We start from the raw sequence: 21,503 nt of genomic DNA, 5'->3' as shown, positions 1-21,503 counted from the left end.
TTTAATAAATGGAATCATATGGTATATACTCTTTTCAGTCTAGTTTCTTCCACTTAAGCTTTTGAGATTTATCCAAGTTGCATGTGTCAGTAGTTCCTTTATTGCTGAGTGATATTTTATTACATAGACGTACCAGAGTGTAGCCACCAGTTGATGGGCGTTTGGGTTGTTTCTACCTGGAGGCTATTATAAAGCTGCTTTCAATATTCCTGCACAAGCCTTTTGGGAGGCATGTGTTTTTGTGTCCCCAGGGGTGGGATTGATGGGTCATATGAGTAAGTATATGTTTAATTTCATAAGAAATTGCCAAACTGTTCCAAAGCATCTGTACCATTTTGCATTCCTAACAGCTATTGTATGAGACTTCTAATTGTTCCACATTCCCACCAACACTTGTTGTTGTCACTCTTTTAAGTTTTAGTCATTCTAGTGGGTATGTAGTGGTATCTCACTGAGCTTTTAATTTTGTTCCAGTGACTAGGGATGTTGATCATCTTTTCATGTGCTTATTTGCCATTTATAGTTATCTTTAGTGAAATGTCTGTTCATGTCTCTTGCACATTTTTAAGTTGCGTTATTTGTCTTTTTATTATTGAGTTGTAAGAGTTCTTTATTCTGGATGCAAGGCCTTATCAGATATGTGATACTGTGAAATTTTTTTCTTAGTCTGATTTGCCTTTTCATTTTGTTAACTATCTTTTGACAGCAAAAAATTTTAACGTTTAATTCTGATTTAGTAGTATTTTTTTTTTTTTTTTTTTTTTGAGACGGAGTCTCGCTCTGTTGCCCAGGCTGGAGTCCAGTGGCGCGATCTCGGCTCACTGCAAGCTCCGCCTCCCTGGTTCACACCATTCTCCTGCCTCAGCCTCCCGAGTAGCTGGGACTACAGGCGCCCACCACCACGCCCGGCTAATTTTTTTTGTATTTTTAGTAGAGATGGGGTTTCACCGTGTTAGCCAGGATGGTCTCGATCTCCTGACCTCGTGATCTGCCCACCTCGGTCTCCCAAAGTGCTGGGATTACAGGCATGAGCCACCGCGCCTGGCCAGTATTTTTCTTTTATGGTTTGCTTTTCATGCTCTAAGAAATCTTTGCCCAGCCCAAGGTTTTAAAGCTGAAAAGAATTATACATAGTTTCTTTAAAGTTGTGAATCATGACAACTAAAAAAACCATCTAGACATTGTTAAAAAGGACAAATGCAGGGTGTCTTCAGTGTTTGGTGATTATATCTAATTTGAATTTTAGACAACAGCAACTGTATAGAAATACTAACGGCTATTGTGTATTAATTTCTTGACATCTGAAATATTTGACTTGGCTTTTTATACTTAGCTGGTAGATTTTTTTTGTTTGTTTTTGAGGTAGGATTGCACTCTGTCATGAAGGCTGGAGTGTAAGTGGCACCACCATGGCTCACTGCAGCCTTGATCTCTCAGGCTGAAGGGATCTTCCCGCCTCAGCAGCCCAAGTAGCTGGGACCACAGGTGCATGCGCCATGCCTGGCTAATTTTTTAAATATTTGTAGAGACAGAGTCTCCCTATGTTGCCTAGGTAGGTTGTTTTTAATGCTCACAAATTTACATTATGTAAAGGTACTCTAAAGAAATCTGTTAAGTAGTTAATTATTACTATATATATTGTTTATTATATAATATTCATATGAAATGGAAGTATATCATTTCTAAATGTTGGGAACATTCTAAGTCCTCTGTTCTGACTATTTTGAAATATATAATACATTGTTGTTAACTGTGGTCACCCTACTCTGCTATTGAACATTGGAATTCATTCCATCGATCTAACTGCATATTTGTACCTATTAATCAACCTCTGTTTATTCCCCCTCACCCCCAGCCTCTGTTATCTGTCATTCTATCCTCTCCCTCCATGAGACCACTTTTTTGTTTTTTTGGGTTTTTTTGTTTGTTTTGTTTTGTTTTTTTTTGAGATGGAGTTTCGCTCTTGTCGCCCAGGCTGGAGTGCAATGGCGCGACCTCGGCTCACTGCAACCTCCGCCTCCTGGGTTCAAGCAATTCTCCTGCTTCAGCCTCCCGAGTAGCTGGGATTACAGGTGCCCGCCACCACGCCCAACTGATGTTTGTATTTTTAGTAAAGACAGGGTTTCACCATGTTTGCTACGCTGGTCTCGAACTCCTGACCTCAGGTGATCTGCCCTTCTCCGCCTCCCAAAATGCTGGAATTACAGGCGTGAGCCACTGTGCCCGGCCATGAGGCCACTTTTTTAGCTTTCACACGAGTGAGAACATATGATATTTGTCTTTCTGTGCCTGGCTTATTTCACTTAACATAAAGACCTTCAGTTCCATCCACATTGCTGCAAATGATATGATTTCATTCTTTTTTATGGCTGAATAGTATTCCATTGTGTATATATATATACACCACATTTTCTTTATTCATTCATCAGTTGATGGGCACTTAACAGGTTGATTCCATAGCTTTGCTGTTGTGAGTAGTGTTGTAATAAACATGAGAGTGCAGGTATTCTTTTGATATATTGATTACTTTTCCTTTGGATAAATACCCAGTAATGGGATTGCTTGTAACAAATTATCACAGGTACCCCACAAATATGTACAAATATTTGTACCAGTAAAAAATTTAAAGAAATTTAGAAAGGAAGTATAATAATGTTTCACTCTTGATTTTTATTGTCTGAAAAGGATGATTCATGTTAGCTAGTGCCTGCTCAAGAAACAAAAGGGCTGTATTTTTTTCCAGTGCATCATATCAGGTGCATGTGAAGTCACTTTGTTCCATTGCTGGTGATGTTAACTTTATCATTTGGTTAAGATGATCTCTGCCAGGTTTCTCCACTATACAGTTACTATTTTTCCCTTTGTTATTAATATATGTCTTGTGGGAAGATATAACACTTTGAGACTATATAAACAGACTGTTTCTCCTCATACTTTCACCTACCTAATGCTGCTCTTTTAACTTGAAAATCTTAATGTTCAGATCTCTTGTTCTGAAATTCTTTGGTTATAAATATCAAACTTGTGAGCAGGAGACCAAACCTTCAACTCATGGAAGTCCTGTACATAACCATATACAATATTATTACCAAGATACACACTTGGTAGAGCTGTCACACTTCCCCTCTTGCCTTCTCCATTGCATTCATCCTGTACACCCGTTCTGCCCTAGTTGTGCCAGGTTCCTGCGTTAACTCCAGTCTATTCTTGCAGAGATGAAGGGCAGAAGGGAAGAGAAAAATGTTAGTTTTGACCATAGAGACCAGTGTAAGAAGAAATCTGCGTTTTCTCATTACTAGGTTTGTGATGGAAAAGTGAATCCTTACAGTTATCTGAGTTAGAATTTTGATCTATTTTTACCCATAAAAGATTTTGCTGTGACAAATCATTTGTTCTGTGTTTAAATGGCTTTTGTTGTCTAGCTTGGAATTCAAGCAGGATTTTTAAGATTGCTTCTAAAGGGTGAATATGACCTTAGTTCCAAATAATGTATTTACAATTACACTTCTTTAACAAATCTCATTTATAAGCTTAGGGTTGCTTTTATATACAAATTATGTATATTTTTAAAAAGAGGCTTATATACTTGTACCAGATATCACTTAACAGAATTATCTTCCAGCCCTATAGTTATTTGTAATTTATTTCTCTGATTATGTGTATATATGTTTCTTAAATTTGAGGTATGTAGTATATAGGACTAACTCCTAGTACAGTGATTCTCAAACTTCAGCATGCCTTGTAATCACCCAGAGGACTTGTTTTTGTTTTTGTTTTTTTTTGAGACGTAGTCTCGCTCTGTTGCCAGGCTGGAGTGCAGTGGCGCAACCTCGGCTCACTGCAACCTCCGCCTCCTGGGTTCAAGCAATTCTCCTGCCTCAGCCTCCCAAGTAGCTGGGACTACAGGCACGCGCCACCGTGCCCAGCTACTTTTTGTACTTTTAGCAGAGACGGGGTTTCACCATGTTGGCCAGAATGGTCTTGATCTCTTGACCTTGTGATCCGCCCGCCTCGGCCTCCCAAAGTGCTGGGATTACAGGCGTGAGCCACTGTGCCCGGCCAAGGACTTGTTAAAATAAATTGTTGGGCCCCATCCTTGGAGTTTTTGATTCAGTAGGTCTTGAGATGAGACCTTAGAATTTGCATTTCTAATAAGTTCTCCTGTGATGTTGATGCTCCTGGCCCAAAGACCAAACTTTGAGGATTCTTGTTCTAGGCTTAAGCAGTGGAGGAGTGTAGTGGTTCTAGAATTGTTTCATGTAAAAGGACACATTTTGCTATAATAACATTTTCTTTAATTATAGAGCACTAACATGCTCACCTGACATACTCAAATGTTTTTGATAGCACCTATATATTTTTTAGACTTTATTTTTTAGAGCAGTTTTAGGTTCACAGCAAAATCCAGAGGAAGGCACAAAGATTTGCTATATAGCCCCTGTTCCCATATGTGCACAGCCTCCCTTGTAATCAACATCTCCCACCAGAGTGGTACATTTGTTACAGGGATGAATCCACATTGACACATCACCCAAAGTCCATAGTTTACATCAGGATTTGCTTTGTGTTGTACATACTAGGGATCTCATCAAATGTATAGAATATTATCACTGCCCTAAAAAATCCTCTGTGCTCTGCTCATTTATCCCTCTCTCCTCACAACCCCTGGCAACCACTGAGCTTTTCATTGTCTGCGTGGTTTTGCCTTTTCCAGAAAGGCATATAGTTGGAATCAGATAGTATGTAGCCTTTTCAGATTGTTTTCTTTCACTTAGTAAAATTATACACATTTAGGTTTCCTCTGTGTCTTTTCATGGCTTGATAGCTCATTTCTTTTTAGCACTGAATAATATTTCATTGTCTGCATGTATCACAGTTTATCCATTCACCTACTGAAGGACATGTTGGTTGCTTCCAAGTTTTGGCAATCAAGAATAAAGCTGCTGTAAGCACCTTTGTACAAGTTTTTGTGTGGACCTAGGTTTTTGATCTACTCTGACAGTCTTTGTATTTTAATTGGTGCATTTAGATGATCAGTGTTCAAAGTAATTGATATATTTGGATTAATATTAATATCTACCATTTTTCTTATTCTTTTTTAGTTTTTGCCCCTGTTTTTTGTTCTTGTTTTTGTCTTCCACTCTTTTCCTGCCCTTTCTGGCCCATTTTTGGTTAAGTTTTTTAGTGATTACCCCACAGTTTGCAATGTACATTTACAATTGATCCAAGTCCACTTTCAAACACACTATTTTGCTTCATGGGTAGTGTGAGTACCTTACAATAACAGCATAATCCTAATTCTTTCCTCCTGACCCTTGCATCACTGAAGTCATTCATTTGCTTATACACACACACACACACACACACACACACACACACACACACACACACGCATATGCGTATGTAATCAAATACATTGTTGCTATTATTATTTTGAACAAACTTATTTTTGTTATATTAGTTAAGCATAAGAAAAATAAACATTTTACCTTCACTTAATCTTACTTCAGTGTTTCTTTTTTTGTTTGTTTATATATATCCAAGTTTCTGACCTATATTCTTTCTCTCTAAAGAACTTACTTAGTATTTCTTGCAAGGCAGGTCTACTGGCAACAAATTCCCTCAGTTTTTGTCTGAGAAAGTCTTTATTTCTCCTTTACATTTAAAGTATAATTTCACAGGGTCCAGAATTCTAGTTTTTTTTTTTATCTTAACACTTTAAATCTTTCACTCCACTCTGCTTGCATAGTTTCTAAGGAGAAATGTTTTAAATTCTTATCCTTGCTTCTCCATAAGCAAGGTGTTCTCCCCCACACCCAGCATCTTTTAGGATTTTTTCTTTTTCTTTGATTTTCTGTAGTTATAACATGATATGCCCAAGTGTAGTTTTTTTGTTTGTTTTATTTATTTGTTTATTTATTTATTTATTTATTTACTTTTTGCATCTGTCTTGCTTGGTGTTTTCTGAGTTTCCCGCATCTGTGGTTTGGTGCCTGATACTAGTTTGGGGAAATTCTGTCATCATTGCTTCAAATATTTCTTCTCTTCCTTCCTTCCTTCTGCTATTTCCATTATGCATATGTTACAGTTTTTTAGTCCTACAGTTCTTGGATATTCTGTTCTGCCTTTTATCAGACTTTTTTCTCTTTGCTTTTCAGTTTTGCAGGCTTCTATGGAGATATCCTCAAGCTCAGAATTTTTTCCTCAGCCGCGTTATCTCCCAATAAGCCATCAAAGGCATTCTTCATTCTGTTACAGTGTTTTTTATCTGTAGGATTTCTTTTTTTATTTTTTCTTAAAATTTCCATATCTCTGCTTATATTGCCCCTGCCCTTTTTTTTGAGGTGGAATTTTGCTTTTGTCATCCAGGCTGGAGTGCAATGGCATGATCTTGGCTCACTGCAACCTCCGCCCCCTGGGTTCAAGGAGTTCTCCTGCCTTAGCCTCTCTAGTAGCTGGGACTATAAGCATGCGCCACCACACCCAGCTAATTTTTCTATTTTTAGTAGAGATGAGGTTTCACCTTGTTGGCCAGGCTAGTTTTGAACTCCTGACCTTAGATGATCTACCCACCTCCGCCTCCCAAAGTGCTGGAATTACAGGCGTGAGCCACCATGCCCGGCTCCCCGCCTTTGTTTTTTTGAGACAGAGTTTTGCTCTGTCACCCAGGCTGGAGTGCAGTGGAGTGACCCTGGCTCACTGCAACCTCCGCCTTCTGGGTTCAAGCAATTCTCATGCCTCAGGCTCCTGAGTAGCTGTGATTACAGGCACGTGCCACCATGCCTGGCTAATTTTTTATATTTTTAGTAGAGACGGGGTTTCGCCATGTTGGCTAGGCTGGTCTAAAACTCCTTGCCTCGAGTGATACACCTGCCTTGGCCTCCCACAGTGCTGAGATTACAGGTGTCAAACACCGTACCCAGCCAGTCACGGAATCTTGTTTGTCTTTTTCCCTCCTAGAAGTAAATAGCATAAGTTCCTCTCTCTCTCTCTCTCTCTTTTTTTTTTTTTTTTTTTTTTTAGACGGAGTCTCGCTCTTGTTGCCCAGGCTGGAGTGCAGTGGCATGATCTCTGCTCACTGCAGCCTCTGCCTCCCGGGTTCACGGGTTCAAGCTATTCTCCTGCCTCAGCCTCCTCAGTAGCTGGGATTACAGGTGTCCACTACCACACCCAGCTAATTTTTGTACTTTTAGTACAGACGAGGTTTCTCCATGTTTGCCAGGCTGGTCTGGAACTCCTGACCTCAGGTGATCTGCCCACCTTGGCCTCCCAAAGTGCTGGGATTACAGGCATGAGCCACCACGCCCGGCCATTAAGTTCCCTTTTTTTTTTCCCCAGACAGAGTCTTGCTTTGTCGCCAGGCTAGAGTGCAGTGGTGCAATCTCAGCTCATTGCAACCTCCGCCTTCCAGGTTCAAGCGATTCTTATAAATATAAATAAAATATATTTTATTTATTGTGTTAGGAATGGGGGAGAGAGATTCTGTGTTTATGTTTTACTCTGCCATGGTAATTAATTTGTCTAGAAAGACTGTATATGTGGCTATTTCATACGTTGGCGCTTGGTAAAAGCCAAAGTGCTCTAAATTGATTTACAAATAAAGCTTAGTAAAACCTGAAATTAGGCAGGCAGAATATACCCCAGACTGGGTATTAGATGACATTAGGAAATAGGTGAGATAGTGATCTTGTGTTAATATGGCGGCATGTCCTTGTTCTTAGGAGACACCCTGAATTATTTTGAGAAACGTGTCATGCCTGCAAATTTTTTTGGTCTGCCGAAAAAAGGGCAAAATGTTAATTGTTGAATTTAGCAGGTAGGTATATATAGCTGTTTAGTATACTATCCTTTCAGTTTTTATGTAATTTGAAATTTTTCATAATAAAAATTTGGATTGCAAGGAGAATGTGCCTTAGACCAGTAGTTCCAAAACTGTAGTTTATAAACCAAATGCTTTAGAACTTTGAGGCTGATGTTTACTACTTTTTGTTTTTTTGTCAGCTATTACAGGAGGGGGAGTCTGATTCTGCTTCATTCCACTTATTTGTTTTCAAAATTGAAAATCTGTCTTGGTTATGTAGCTTAAAGCCCAAGATTCTTCATAGAGTAGTTTTAAGAAATAAATGCGAAGGTTTTAGTCTGTACGTGGCACATAGTGAGTACTAAATAAATTGTAGTAAGAATGAGAAGAAGGAGGAAGTTGAAAATAGTGTTTTAATTCACACAGTTTCAGGTTCCAGTCTTTTCAAAAATCTTGTGTTTTTTTCCTCTCTCTTCTGAGACATAATCCTGAGTAGTGTTTGAAATGTTCAAGGGGCAGGGATACGAAAAATAGATCATTAGTAATAAAAAATTATCTAGTTATATCTACAACTTTTCCATTTATTCCATGACTCCCCAAAAACCCTCCTCCTAATAAACCTATAAACCTATATATTTTTTGTGTGTCCTGTACTGTTATGCAGCCCGATCAGCTACTGTGTCTTTATAGGGCAATTTTGGAACTTGTTTTGGGCCATTCAGCTAATAGCCTATATAGGCATAATTGTGGCTAGTTTTATTCAAACTTTTTTTTTTTTTTTTTTTTTTTTTTGAGACGGAGTCTAGCTCTGTCACCCAGGCTGGAATGCAGTGGCGCAATCTCACCTCACCATAACCTCTGCCTCCTAGGTTCACGCGATTCTCCTGCCTCAGCCTCCTGAGTAGCTGGGATTACAGGTGCGCGCCCACCATGCCCAGCTAATCTTTGCATTTTTTTTTAGTAGAGAAGGGGTTTCACCATGTTGGTCAGGCTGGTCTTGAGCTCCTGACCTCGTGATCCGTGGTCTCAGCCTCCCAAAGTGTTGGGATTACAGGCGTGAGCCACTGCACTCTGCCTATTCAAACTTAAAAATTCAGTTGCTCACAGGCAAGTGTGTGTGTATATATATATATATTTATTATTATTATTATACTTTAAGTTCTGGGATACATGTGCAGAACGTGCATGTTTGTTACATAGATATACACGTGCCATGGTGGTTTGCTGCACCCATCAACCCATCATCTACATTAGGTATTTCTCCTAATGCTATCCCTCCCCTAACCCCCTACCCTGCTACAGACCCCTGTGTGTGATGTTCCCCTCCCTGTGTCCTTGTGTTCTAATTGTTCAACTCCCACTTACGAATGAGAACATGCGGTGTTTGGTTTTCTGTTCCTGTGTTAGTTTGCTGAGAATGATGGTTTCCAGCTTCATCCATGTCCCTGCAAAGGACATGAACTCATCCATTTTTGTGGCCGCATAGTATTCCATGGTGTATATGTGCCACATTTTCTTTATCCAGTCTATCATTTATGGGCATTTGGGTGGGTTCTAAGTCTTTGCTATTGTGAACAGTGCTGCAGTAAACATACGTGTGCATGTGTCTTTATAGTAGAATGATTTATAATCCTCTGGGTATATACCCAGTAATGGGATTGCTGGGTCAAATGGTATTTTTAGTTCTAGATCCTTGAGGAATTGCCACACTGTCTTCCACAATGGTTGAACTAATTTACAACAGTGTAAAAGCATTACCATTTCTCCACATCCTTGTCAGCATCTGTTGTTTCCTGACTTTTTAATGATCACCATTCTAACTGGTGTGAGATGGTATCTCATTGTGGTTTTGATTTGCATTTCTCTAATGACCAGTAATGATGAGCATTTTTTTCATGTTTGTTGGCTGCATAAATGTCTTCTTTTGAGAAGTGTCTGTTCATATCATTCGCCCACTTTTTGATGGGTTTTTTTTTTCTTGTAAATTTGTTTAAGTTCCTTCTAGATTCTGGATATTAGCCCTTTTGTCAGATGGATAGATTACAAAAATTTTCTCCCATTCTGTAGGTTGCTTGTTCATTCTGATGATAGTTTCTTTTGCTGTGCAGAATAGTTTAATTAGATCCCGTTTGTCAATTCTGGCTTTTGTTGCCATTGCTTTTGGTGTTTTAGTCATGAAGTCTTTGCCCATGCCTTTGTCCTAAATGGTATTGCCTAAATTTTCTTCTAGGGTTTTTCGGGTTTGAGGTCTTAACGTTTAAGTCTTTTAATCCATCTTGAGTTAATTGTTGTATATGGTGTAAGGAAGGGGTCCAGTTTCAGTTTTCTGCATATGGCTAGCCAGTTTTCCAACACCATTTATTAAATAGGGGATCCTTTCCCCATTGCTTGTTTTTGTCAGGTTTGTCAAAGATCAGATAGTTGTAGATGTGTGGTGTTATTTCTGAGGCTTCTGTTCTGTTCCATTGGTCTATGTATCTGTTTTGGTACCAGTACCATGCTATTTTGGTTACTGTAGCCTTGTAGTATAGTTTGAAGTGAGGTAGCATGATGCCTCCAGCTTTGTTCTTTTTGCTTAGGATTGTCTTGGGTACACGAGCTCTTTTTTGGTTCCTTATGAAATTTAAAGTAGTTTTTTCTAACTCTGAAAAAAGTCACTGGTAGCTTGATGGGGATAGCATTGAATCTATAAATTACTTTGGATGGTGTGGCCATTTTCACGATATTGATTCTTCCTACCCATGAGCATGGAATGTTTTTCCATTTGTTTGTGTCCTCTCTTATTTCCTTGAGCAGTAGTTTGTAGTTCTCCTTGAGGAGGTCCTTCACATCCCTTATAAGCTGTATTCCTAGGTATTTTATTCTCTCTGTAGCAGTTGTGAACGGGAGTTCACTCATGATTTGGCTCTCTATTATTGGTGTATAGGAATGCTTGTGATTTTTGCACATTGATTTTGTATCCTGAGACTTTGCTGAGGTTGCTTATCAGCTTAAGGAGATTGTGGGCTGAGACAATGGGGTTTTCTAAATATACAATCATGTCATCTGCAAACAGAGACAATTTGACTTCCTCTCTTCCTATTTCAGTACCCTTTATTTCTTTCTCTTGGCTGATTGCCCTGACCAGAACTTCCAATACTATGTTGAATAGGAATGGTGAGAGAGGGCATCCCTGTGTTGTGCTGGTTTTCAAAGGGAATGCTTCCAGCTTTTGCTCACTCAGTATGATATTGGCTGTGGGTTTGTCATAAATAGTTCTTATTATTTTGAGATATGTTCCATCGATACCTAGTTTATTGAGAGTTTTTAGCATGAAGGGGTGTTGAATTTTCTCGAAGGCCTTTTCTGCATCTATTGAGATAATCAGGTAGTTTTTGTCATTGGTTCTGTTAATGTGATGGATTACGTTTATTGATTTGCCTATGTTGAACCAGCCTTGCATCCCCGGGATGAAGCCAACTTGATTGTGGTGGATAAACTTTTTGATGTGCTGCTGGATTCGGTTTTGCCAGTATTTTATTGAGGATTTTTGCATCTATGTTCATCAGGGATGTTGGCCTGTGTGTCTGCCAGGTTTTAGTATCAGGATGATGCTGGCCTCGTAAAATGAGCTAGGGTGGTGTCCCTCTTTTTCTATTGTTTGGAATAGTTTCAGAAAGAATGGTACGAGCTCCTCTTTGTACTTCTGGTAGAATTTGGCTTTGAATCCGTCTTGTCCTGGGCCTTTTTTGGTTGTTAGGTTATTAGTTACTGCCTCAATTTCAGAACTTGTTATTGGTCTATTCAGGGATTCCACTTCTTCCTGGTTTAGTCTTGGGGGGGGGGCGTATGTGTCCAGGAATTTATCCATTTCTTCTAGATTTTCTAGTTTATTTGCGTAGAGGTGTTTATAGTATTCTCTGATGGTAGTTTGTATTTCTGTGGGATCAATGGTGATATCCCCTTTATAATTTTTTATTGTGTCTATTTGAGTCTTCTCTCTTTCTTCTTTATTAATCTGGCTAGCAGTCTATTTTGTTAATCTTTTCAGAAAACCAGCTTCTGGATTCCGTGATACTTTGAAGGGTTTTTTGTGTCTCTATCTCCTTCAGTTCTGCTCTGATCTTAGTTATTTCTTGTCTTCTGCTAGATTTTGAGTTTGTTTGCTCTTGCTTCTCTACTTCTTTTAATTGTGATGTTAGGATGTCGATTTTAGATCTTTTCCGCTTTCTCCTGTGGGCATTTAGTGCTATAAATTTCTCTCTAAACACTGCCTTAGCTGCATCCCATAGATTGTGGTACATTTTGTCTTTGTTCTCATTGGTTTCAAATAACTTGTTTATTTCTGTCTTAATTGCATTGTTTACCCAGTAGTCATTCAGGAGCAAGTTGTTCAGTTTCCATGTAGTTGTGTGTTTTTTTCTTAATCCCGAGTTCTAATTTGATTGCACTGTGGTCCGAGAGACTGTTTGTTATGATTTCCATTATTTTGCATGTCCTGAGGAGTCTTTTACGTCCAATTATGTGCTCAATTTTAGAATAAGTGTGATGTGATGCTGAGAAGAATGTATATTCTGTTGATTTGAGGTGGAGAGTTCTGTAGATGTCTATTAGGTCCACTTGGTCCAGAGCTGAGTTCACGTCCTGAATATCCTTGTTAATTTTCTGTGTCGTTGATCTGTCTAATATTGACAGTGGGGTGTTAAAGTCTCCCACTATTATTGTGTGGCAGCCAAAATCTCTTTGTAGGTCTCTAAGAACTTGCTTTATGAATCTGGATGCTCCTGTATTGGGCGCATATATATTTAGTATAGTTAGCTCTTCTTGTTACGTTGATCCCTTTACCATTAGGTAATGCCTCTCTTTGTCTTTTTTTGATCTTTGTTGTTTTAACGTCTGTTTTATCAGAGACTAGGATTGCAACCTCTGCTTTTTTTGCTTTCTATTTGCTTGGTAAATCTTCCTCCATCCCTTTATTTTGAGCCTATGTGTGTCTTTGCACGTGAGATGGGTCTCCTGAATACAGCACACTGATAGGTCTTGACCCTATCCAATTTCCTAGTCTATGTCTTTTAATTTAGGGGCATTTGGCCCATTTATATTTAAGGTTAATATTGTTATATGTGAATTTGATCCTGTCATTATGATGCTAGCTGGTTATCTTGCTTGTTAGTCGATGCAGTTTCTTCATAGTGTCGATGGTCTTTACAATTTGGTAGGTTTTTGCAGTAGCTGGTTTCAGTCTTTCCTTTCCATATTTAGTGCTTCCTTCAGGAGCTCATGTAAGGCAGGCCTGGTAGTGACATAATCTCTCAGCATTTGCTTGACTGTAAAGGATTTTATTTCTCCTTCTCTTATAAAGCTTAGTTTGGCTGGATATGAAATTCGGGGTTGAAAATTCTTTTCTTTAAGAATGTTTATTTTTAGCCCCCAATCTCTTCTGGCTTGTAAGGTTTCTGCTGAGAGATCCGCTGTTAGTCTGATGGGCTTCCCTTTGTGGGTAACCCGACCTTTCTCTCTGGCTGCCCTTAACATTTTTTTCTTCGTTTCAACCTTGGTGAATCTGACGATTATGTGTCTTGGGGTTGCTCTTCTCGAGGAGTATCTTTGTGGTGGTCTCTGTATTTCCTGAATTTTGAATGTTGGCCTGTCTTGCTAGATTGGAGAAGTTTTCCTGGATAATACCCTGAAGAGTGTTTTCCAACTTGGTTCCATTCTCTTCGTCACTTTCAGGTACACCAATCAAACGTAGGTTTGGTCTTTTCACATAGTCCCATATTTCTTGGAAGCTTTGTTTGTTCCTTTACATTCTTTTTTCTCTAATCTTGTCTTCACATTTTGTTTCATTAAATTGATCTTCAGTCTCTGATATCCTTTCTTCTGCTTGGTCGATTCGGCTATTGATACTTGTGTATGCTTCAGGAAGTTCTCATGCTGTATTTTTCAGCTCCATCAGGTCATTTATGTTCTTCTCTTAACTGGTTATTCTAGTTAGCAATTCTCTAACCTTTTTTCAAGGTTCTTAGCTTCCTTGCATTTGGTTAGAACATGCTCCTTTAGCTTGGAGGAATTTCTTATTACCCACCTTCTGAAGCCTACTTCTGTCAATTCCTCAAACTCATTCTTTGTCCAGTTTTGTTCCCTTGTTGTTGAGGAGTTGTGATCCTTTGGAGGAGGGGAGGCATTCTGGTTTTTGGAATTTTCAGCCTTTTTGTGCTGTTTTTTTCTCATCTTCATGGATTTATCTACCTTTGGTCTTTGTCGTTCAGATGGGGTTTTTGTGTGGACATCCTATTTGTTGGTGTTGACTCTATTCCTTTCTGTTTGTTTTCCTTCTAATAGTCAGGCCCCTCTGCTGCAGGTCTGCTGGAGTTTGCTGGAGGTCCACTCCAGACCCTGTTTGCCTGGGTAGCTCCAGCAGAGGCTGCAGAACTGCAAAGATTGTTGTCTTTTCCTTCTTCGGGAAGCTTCCTCCTAGAGGGGCACCCGCCAGATGCCAGCCAGAGCTCTCCTGTATGATGTGTCTGTCGACCCCTGCTGGGAAGTGTCTCTCAGTCAGGAGGCACAGGGATCAGGGACCCACTTGAGGAAGCAGTCTGTCCCTTAGCAGAGCTTGAGCACTGTGCTGAGAGATCCGCTGCCCTCTTCAGAGCTGGCAGGCAGGAACGTTTAAGTCTGCTGAAGCTGTGCCCACAGCCGCCTCTTCCCCAAGGTGCTCTGTCCTAGGGTGTTGGGAGTTTTATTTATAAGCCCCTGACTGGGGCTGCTGCCTTTCTTTCAGAGATGCCCTGCCCAGAGAGGAGGAATTTAGAGAGGCAGTCAGGCTACACCAGCTTTGTGACGCTGCAGTGGGCTCTGCTCACTTTGAACTTCCCAGCAGCTTTGTTTACACTGTGAGGGGAAAACCCGCCTACTCAAGCCTCAGTAATTGCACACGCCCCTCCTCCCGCTGAGCTCCAGCGTCCCAGGTCGACTTCAGACTGCTGTGCTGGCAGCGAGAATGTCAAGCCGGTGCATCTTAGCTTGCCGGGCTCCGTGGGGGTGGGATCTGCTGAGCTAGACCACTTGGCTCTGTGGCTTCAGCCCCCTTTCCAGGGGAGTGGATGGTTCTGTCTCGCCTGGTGTTCCAGGCGCTACTGGGGTTTGAAAGAAAACTCCAGCAGCAGCAGCTAGCTCAGTGTCTGCCCAAACGGCCACCCAGTTTTGTGCTTGAAACCCAGGACCCTGGTAGTGTAGGCACAGAGGAAGTCTCCTGGTCTGTGGGTTGTGAAGACTGTGGGAAAAGCTTAGTATCTGGGCCAGAATGCACTGTTCCTCACTGCACAGTCCTTCACGGCTTCCCTTGGCTAGGGGAGAGAGTTCCCCGACCCCTTGCACTTCCCGGGTGAGGCAATGCCCCACCCTGCTTTGGCTCGCCCTCTGTGGGCTGCACCCACTGTTTAACCAGTCCCACTGAGATGAGCCGGGTACCTCAGTTGGAAATGCAGAAATCATTCACCTTCTTCGTTGATCTTGTTGGGAGCTGCAGACCGGAGCTGTTCCTATTTGGCTTTCTTGCCAGCCACCGAACCCGTGATTTCTGAGAGTTCATAGAAGTTAGGCTGATTACATTTAAACAATTTGCCAGGTCTCAACAATCCATATAGCTTTTTTTAACTTCCCATTTGATCTTCTTAGATCTGCAAGTTTTATTTTCCATTTTCAAAATCTTTTTTTTTTTTTTTTTTTTTTGAGACAGAGTCTTGTTGTGTTGCTTAGGCTGGAGTGCAGTGGCGTGATCTAGGCTCACTGCAACCTCAACCTCCACCTCCCAGGTTCAAGCGATTCTCCTGCCTCAGCCTCCCGAGTAGCTGGGACTACAGGCGAGTGCCACCATGCCCAGCTAATTTTTTGCATTTTTAGGAGAGATGGGGTTTCACCATGTTGGTCAGGCTGGTCTCGAACTCCCGACCTCATGATCTGTCTGCCTCAGCTTCCCAAAGTGCTTGGATTACAGGCGTCAGCCACCGTGCCTGGCCCAAGTACAGTTTTTGATCTTCAAGAGGTGCCTGTACTCTGTCCTGTTCATATTTGAATTCCCAATGCCTGGAATCTAGTCATTGAATGAATGAATGAATGAATGAATGCATGTCTCTTGTTCTCCCTCCCTGTTTCTGTCTCCCTCCCATTTCTAGCTGGCATTCAGTAAAACTTATAGTATTATGTGAGAGTCTTACAGTTGCTTTGAATTAAAAAGCAAATTAAACTAAAAGAAAAAGTATCAAGGGAGTAGAATATATTTTCCTACCAAACAAAAGAAAATTGCTTTTATTTGCATGTACTTCTTGATTTAATTTTGTACATTCTTGCTATAATTCGACTTTGATAGGAAGGTCTTTTACTGCTCTTCTAGATGGTTTTATTTTGCTTCCTATATTTCTTTCCCCTTTTCAAATTTTCCTGCTTAATGAAATCTAGAGAATTGATGTTTGAAATTGATATGAAACCTAGAGAATAGATGCTTGAAACTCATATGAGTCACCTAGAAAGGGAGTTAGGACAACTTAGTAAATAAGAAAATGTTTTATTTCTATGGGAAAAAAACTGTGTGTCGCTTTATTAGGTTTGTTTAAATTATAGTATACCAGGAAAGGAGGAGCTTAACTGTCTTTTTCCCCGACATAATATACCATAAACCTAGTTTTTCCAGTTACAGGATACCTGTATTTTTGCTTCCCAATGTACACCCTATGTGCCACCAGAATTATGTGTGTGCTACCTTACCACCCCGAAACCAAACCAAACCATCTGGCTTTTTTCTGCCAGGCCACTCCTTTATAACCCAGTTCCTTCTTTGCTTACCAGGATATATGTTGACTTAATAAATTATTTCTGTGAAAGGAACCATACCTTTTTAACCTGCCAATTAAAAACAAATTGAGTGTATGTATTTTCCCATAAAGGTAACATGGCAGGCCCTGAATTAGTGTTATGTGAAAATGTAGCATAACAGTTAGACTTTTCCTGTGGTAATATCCATTATATTACTGAAGTGTGAAAGCGTATGCATACACAAAACACCCTTATCTACCAAGAAAATAAGAAGCTTGTTATCTGCATATTAGCTTTTCCCTCTTTCTCACTTGATATTGAGCTAAATCCTTGCCAGAAATCTAGATTGTCACTGGTTGTCAGTACTTCAGTTGTCTTTTTGGCCTCTACAGACTCCGCCAGCCCTCTGTCTGTTTATATTCACACAAGTATCATTCACTGTTTCATTTTGAATTAATAGACATCCTTGTCAAACATCACTTTAGGGGCTCATCTGTAAATCTGCAAATTGTTTATATAATACGGACCCAGGATTTTTCATTCAGTCTGTACAATTTAAGCAATGGTTTTGTCTTTGTTAGTAATGTTACTGGTATTTTGGGCTTATCTTTCAGTGAGGACTTTGGGAGTGGTGAATTAAAAGATAGATTTAAATTTCTTTGCGTTTAATTTTGGCTTTGTTTTTGCATTTTTGTTGCTTTAGTGTTTGATTATACTAATTCCATAGAAGAAAAACTATAATCTCTGGATGGAAAAATGCAAATGTATTATAATGAAGTTTTTGTACTGGCCACAATTTTTTTTTTTTTTTGCTCTTGTTGTCCAGGCTGGCGTGCAATGGCACGATCTCGGCTCACTGCAACCTACACCTCCCGGGTTCAAGTGGTTCTCCTGCCTAAGCCTCCTGAGTAGCTGGGACTACAGGTGTGCGCCACCATGCCTGGCTAATTTTTGTATTTTTAGTAGAGACGGGGTTTCGCCATGTTGGCCAGGCTGGTCTCGAACTCCTGACCTCAGGTGATCTGCCCACGTTGGCCTCCCAAAGTGCTGGGATTACAGGCGTGAGGCACCGCGCCCAGCCCTTGCTACACTTTTATAATAAATTCTTAGATCAATTTTAGGATGCTTTGGTTTGATAGGTTGAGAAAAGAATTGGTTTATAAAAATTGACACTTAAAATTCATGGATGTCAAGTATGACTTAGAGGTTAGAAACAGATAAAATTTAAAAAGGTTAACAGGCTATATTTAAAATCTACATATTTGTAAAAAGTAAGAACAATTTACAACCATGTGCAAGTTAAAGTTTTTTCAAATTAGAAATTAATTGTGACATCATAATCTTAACCTTTTTGTATTTTATTAATTTCTTTTTTTAAATTGTAGTTTCAGTCTGATGGAAGCAAACAAGAAGATAAAGAAAAAACGGTAAGAGACTAGAAAAATCCAATAATGTGTCTAATGTTTGTCTTGCTACAGTATATTACAAATTTTACTGTGAACAAGCTTTAATCATCTGTATGAGTAATTGTTTTATAATGTAGATGCTGATTATAGTTTTTGGCGGCATATGCAAAGTTATCTTTTAAGATTAACATTTTTTCCCCTGATGTTGAAAAAGGAAGAGAGATAAAAGTTCCTCATTCCTTTGCTACCCCTTTCCTTTCCTCACCCCATTTTATGTCTTCGATGGAGAAACATAAATAAGCTTTGTGAAAAGGGTGGGTGAGGAATGGGATATTGTGTGTTATGTTATTAAGAAATGGTAATTTTCCCAAGGCTGTTATAAATTTATTGTTGGTTATATTAATATAGACCTCTTACTGAAATAACTTTTCCTTCTTTCTTTTAGGAAGTTATCCTTAGCTGTTTGCTTAGCATTACTGACCAGGTACTACTTCCATCTCTTTCTTTGATGGACTGCAATGCTTGTATGTCTGAGGAACTATGGGGAATGTTTAAAACATTTCCATATCAGCATAGGTAAATACATATTATTTTCATGTTTTTAACTATTAGTAATTCTAGTATATTAACCTCTAAGTGTTTAACTTTTCCTAATTCTTCATCTCATCGTTTTTTAAGATATCGTCTGTATGGCCAGTGGAAGAATGAAACTTATAACAGTCACCCACTTTTAGTAAAAGTTAAAGCTCAAACAATAGACAGAGCCAAATATATCATGAAGTAAGTTTTAATTTATTTTTCATATTAATCTAAATTATATCTGAATCTAATATACTTTCTTTCAGGTAGCTTGTCTGAGCCTCAGTTTTGGGAAAGCCTATGTGTTGTGAATGGTATAGCTGATTTATATACTACAGATGGAATGACTGTTAACTGTGGTTTTAGCTCATTTTGACTACCAAGTTAATGTTTTCATAGTTGTTGTGTTTACATATGGATAAAAATCTAATGGAAATCCTCTTTAATATGTGCATCATATTATGGGATGAAGGTTTTGTTTTTTCTTTTTAAGGACAGCCTGCTGTGGCCTTTGCTTACCTTTAGTGATTTGTGCAAGGTAGTAAAAGTTCTAGCAATTTCCACTGCTGAAAGTTACCATAATGAATTTTTTTAATCTGTTAGGAAGAACTAATGAAATTATCCAGAACTATCTCCATAGGGAGTCAACTTTTGAGAAATTTCTTTTTTAAAAAAATTTGTACACTTTTATTTTCATATCATTAAAAACATAAGAGTGATGTTCTACTTCCCAGTAGATTATTTGAAGTTTAATTATGAAAATCATGTACTTCAGATTAGTATTAGTTTAGATGCTTAATTGTATTGCTGTATTGCAAGTGTTTTCAACGAGGCTATTGTCAGTTGTCATTCCTTTTTTAAATTCATGGCAGTGGTATGGTTATTCTAATTAAAAGTAGTTCGTTCTCAGTTTATTTAGATTTAACAGTGTGTAATGTCTGTTAAATGTTGTCCTTGCCCAGTGATATTGTTTCTGGTCACAGCCTATTGGGAAAACAGGTGTGTGCATGATCACAATCTAGTTGTTGTTTTTTTTTTTTTTTCCTGTGAGCCTATGGATTATATTGAAACAACCTAGTATAATAGGTGCTGTTATACAGTATGAATAAAGTGCTATGGGAGGATAGATGAGACTAAATGATTTCACTTGGGGGAGTTTTGTTTGGCAGGAGTTGATATTAGATCTGAAAGAGTTTCTGGACTTAAGAGTTCTCCAGGTACAGTTTCTAGCTTAACAACAGCAGCTAATATTTAGGGAGCTATTACTGTATGTGCCAGGCATTAAACTAAGTGCTCTGCATGGATTGTTTAATAATACATTAAGCATTTTTAAATACCTTGAATTCATCCACTGTCACTACCACTACTACCTTAGTTATTTTATCTGGTGTATTATAGTTGTATATTCTCTTACCTAAAAATCCTTTGGTGACTGACTTTACCTGAAGGTATATGTTAAGCTTTATGGCATGGTGATATAAATAAGAGGTCCTCCCTGGTTTGTCCCTCCCTGCATCCAACCTCCTTTCCTGCCAATTCTACTTCCAGATGTACTGAGCCTACTTATGTCCCCTAAATGTACCACTCTCTCCTTAGCTTCTCTTCCCCTGTATATACTTTTTGTTCCCTCTGTTTGTACAGGTTTTCCCTTACCTTCCTTTCCCCCTTTCCATCTGGTGACCTCATTCTTGGAGAGTGAGCTCCAGTGTTACTTCTAGTGAAGGCTTCCCTAGCATAAACTGCCAGACACAATCAATCTTTATTTCCATCACTATTCTTTAGCATATAATGTTATCATACCTCTAGGTACCTTGCTATGATTGTTTTTTGAATAGTTTATGTGTTTACATGATTTAAGTTTCAGTAAATATAAAAGGTATAAATACAGCAAAAAGTCTCACTCCATCCTCCATCTACTCAGTTCTTCCCCTCAAGGAAAAGTAACCACTGTTTAGTCTCTTATTTATCCTTCCATATATTCTTATGTATATGCAAGCCAATACAATATATATTATCCCCCTCTTATATTATTATTATATTAATATTGTTTTTCTTTGTAAAAATGGGACCTCACTATGTTGCCCAGGCTGGTCTTGAACTCCTGGCCTCAAGTGATCCTCCCACCTTGACCTCCCAGCGCTGGAGTTACAGACGTGAGCTACCACACCCCAGCCACCTTTTATATTATCAATAGCATATAAGTACTGTTCTGTTGATTGCTCTTTTTTAGAATATTGAAATTTAATAAATGAATTTAAATCTGTCTCCTTCACTGGACCAGGCTTGAGAGCAGGAACTGTTACTCTGTTATTCATCCTTGTATTTCTTATTTTTTTTTTTTTTTTTGGGAGATGGAGTTTTGCACCGTTGCCCGGGCTGGAGTGCTGCAGTGGCACGATCTTGGCTCACTGCAACCTCCGCCTCCTGTGTTCAAGCGATTATCCTGCCTCAGCCTCCCAAGTAGTTGGGATTACAGGCGCCTGCCACCAAGTCCAGCTAATTCTTTGTATTTTTAGTAGAGACGGGGTTTCACCATGTTGGCCAGGCTGGTCTCGAACTCCTGACCTTGTGATTCACCCGCCTTGGCCTCCCAAAGTGGTGGGATTACAGGCGTGAGCCACTGCACGCGGCTTCATCCTTATATTTCTACACTGACCTTAGCTAAAAGGCTGAGACACAATCTTCCTTGTATTTCTAATGCTTAGTACTTTGACTGTCATCGTAGGCATTAATATGAATGAATGAATAAAAATACAATTTACTACAGAATAGTATGTGCAGAATTTTTAATATACTTGGATTTTTGTTATATTTGTAAGCTATAACTATTTTACCAGGCTTAAACAATATGATTTTGTTACTGTTTGAAGTTTTTACATTGAGCATATAATGTATTAACTTATTACTTGTAGAATTTCATGAGTTTT

General features: G+C 39.1%; 1 protein-coding gene across 19 annotated transcripts in view, besides 2 other annotated features; it reads left to right on the top strand.

The window, feature by feature from the left end:
* THOC2 (THO complex subunit 2) overlaps positions 1-21,503 on the top strand; it is a 132,484-nt gene that overhangs the window by 69,701 nt on the left and 41,280 nt on the right. For all 19 annotated transcript variants that reach the window (XR_007068195.1, NM_001081550.2, NM_001441236.1 and 16 more), the window contains 3 exons: positions 17,977-18,018; positions 18,443-18,573; positions 18,676-18,777. Coding sequence is in view for 18 of the 19 variants with exons in the window: in NM_001081550.2 (NP_001075019.1) it covers positions 17,977-18,018; positions 18,443-18,573; positions 18,676-18,777 (275 nt within the window). In the remaining variant the exon portion in view is untranslated. The remainder of the gene's footprint in view (positions 1-17,976; positions 18,019-18,442; positions 18,574-18,675; positions 18,778-21,503) is intronic.
* Positions 13,868-14,724: an enhancer, noted in NCBI's record as "H3K27ac-H3K4me1 hESC enhancer chrX:122782479-122783335 (GRCh37/hg19 assembly coordinates)". NCBI's record gives its function as "activates a minimal SCP1, AML or CMV promoter by ChIP-STARR-seq in naive H9 embryonic stem cells {active_cell/tissue: H9 hESC(naive)}" and the evidence as "EXISTENCE:reporter gene assay evidence [ECO:0000049][PMID:30033119]".
* Positions 14,725-15,583: an enhancer, noted in NCBI's record as "H3K27ac-H3K4me1 hESC enhancer chrX:122781620-122782478 (GRCh37/hg19 assembly coordinates)". NCBI's record gives its function as "activates a minimal SCP1, AML or CMV promoter by ChIP-STARR-seq in naive H9 embryonic stem cells {active_cell/tissue: H9 hESC(naive)}" and the evidence as "EXISTENCE:reporter gene assay evidence [ECO:0000049][PMID:30033119]".

This window comes from Homo sapiens, chromosome X (assembly GCF_000001405.40).
Source record: "Homo sapiens chromosome X, GRCh38.p14 Primary Assembly".
Classification (NCBI taxonomy): domain Eukaryota; kingdom Metazoa; phylum Chordata; class Mammalia; order Primates; family Hominidae; genus Homo; species Homo sapiens.
The sequence above is the reverse complement of the archived record's forward strand: the minus strand, read 5'-3'. Positions and strand labels throughout refer to the sequence as shown.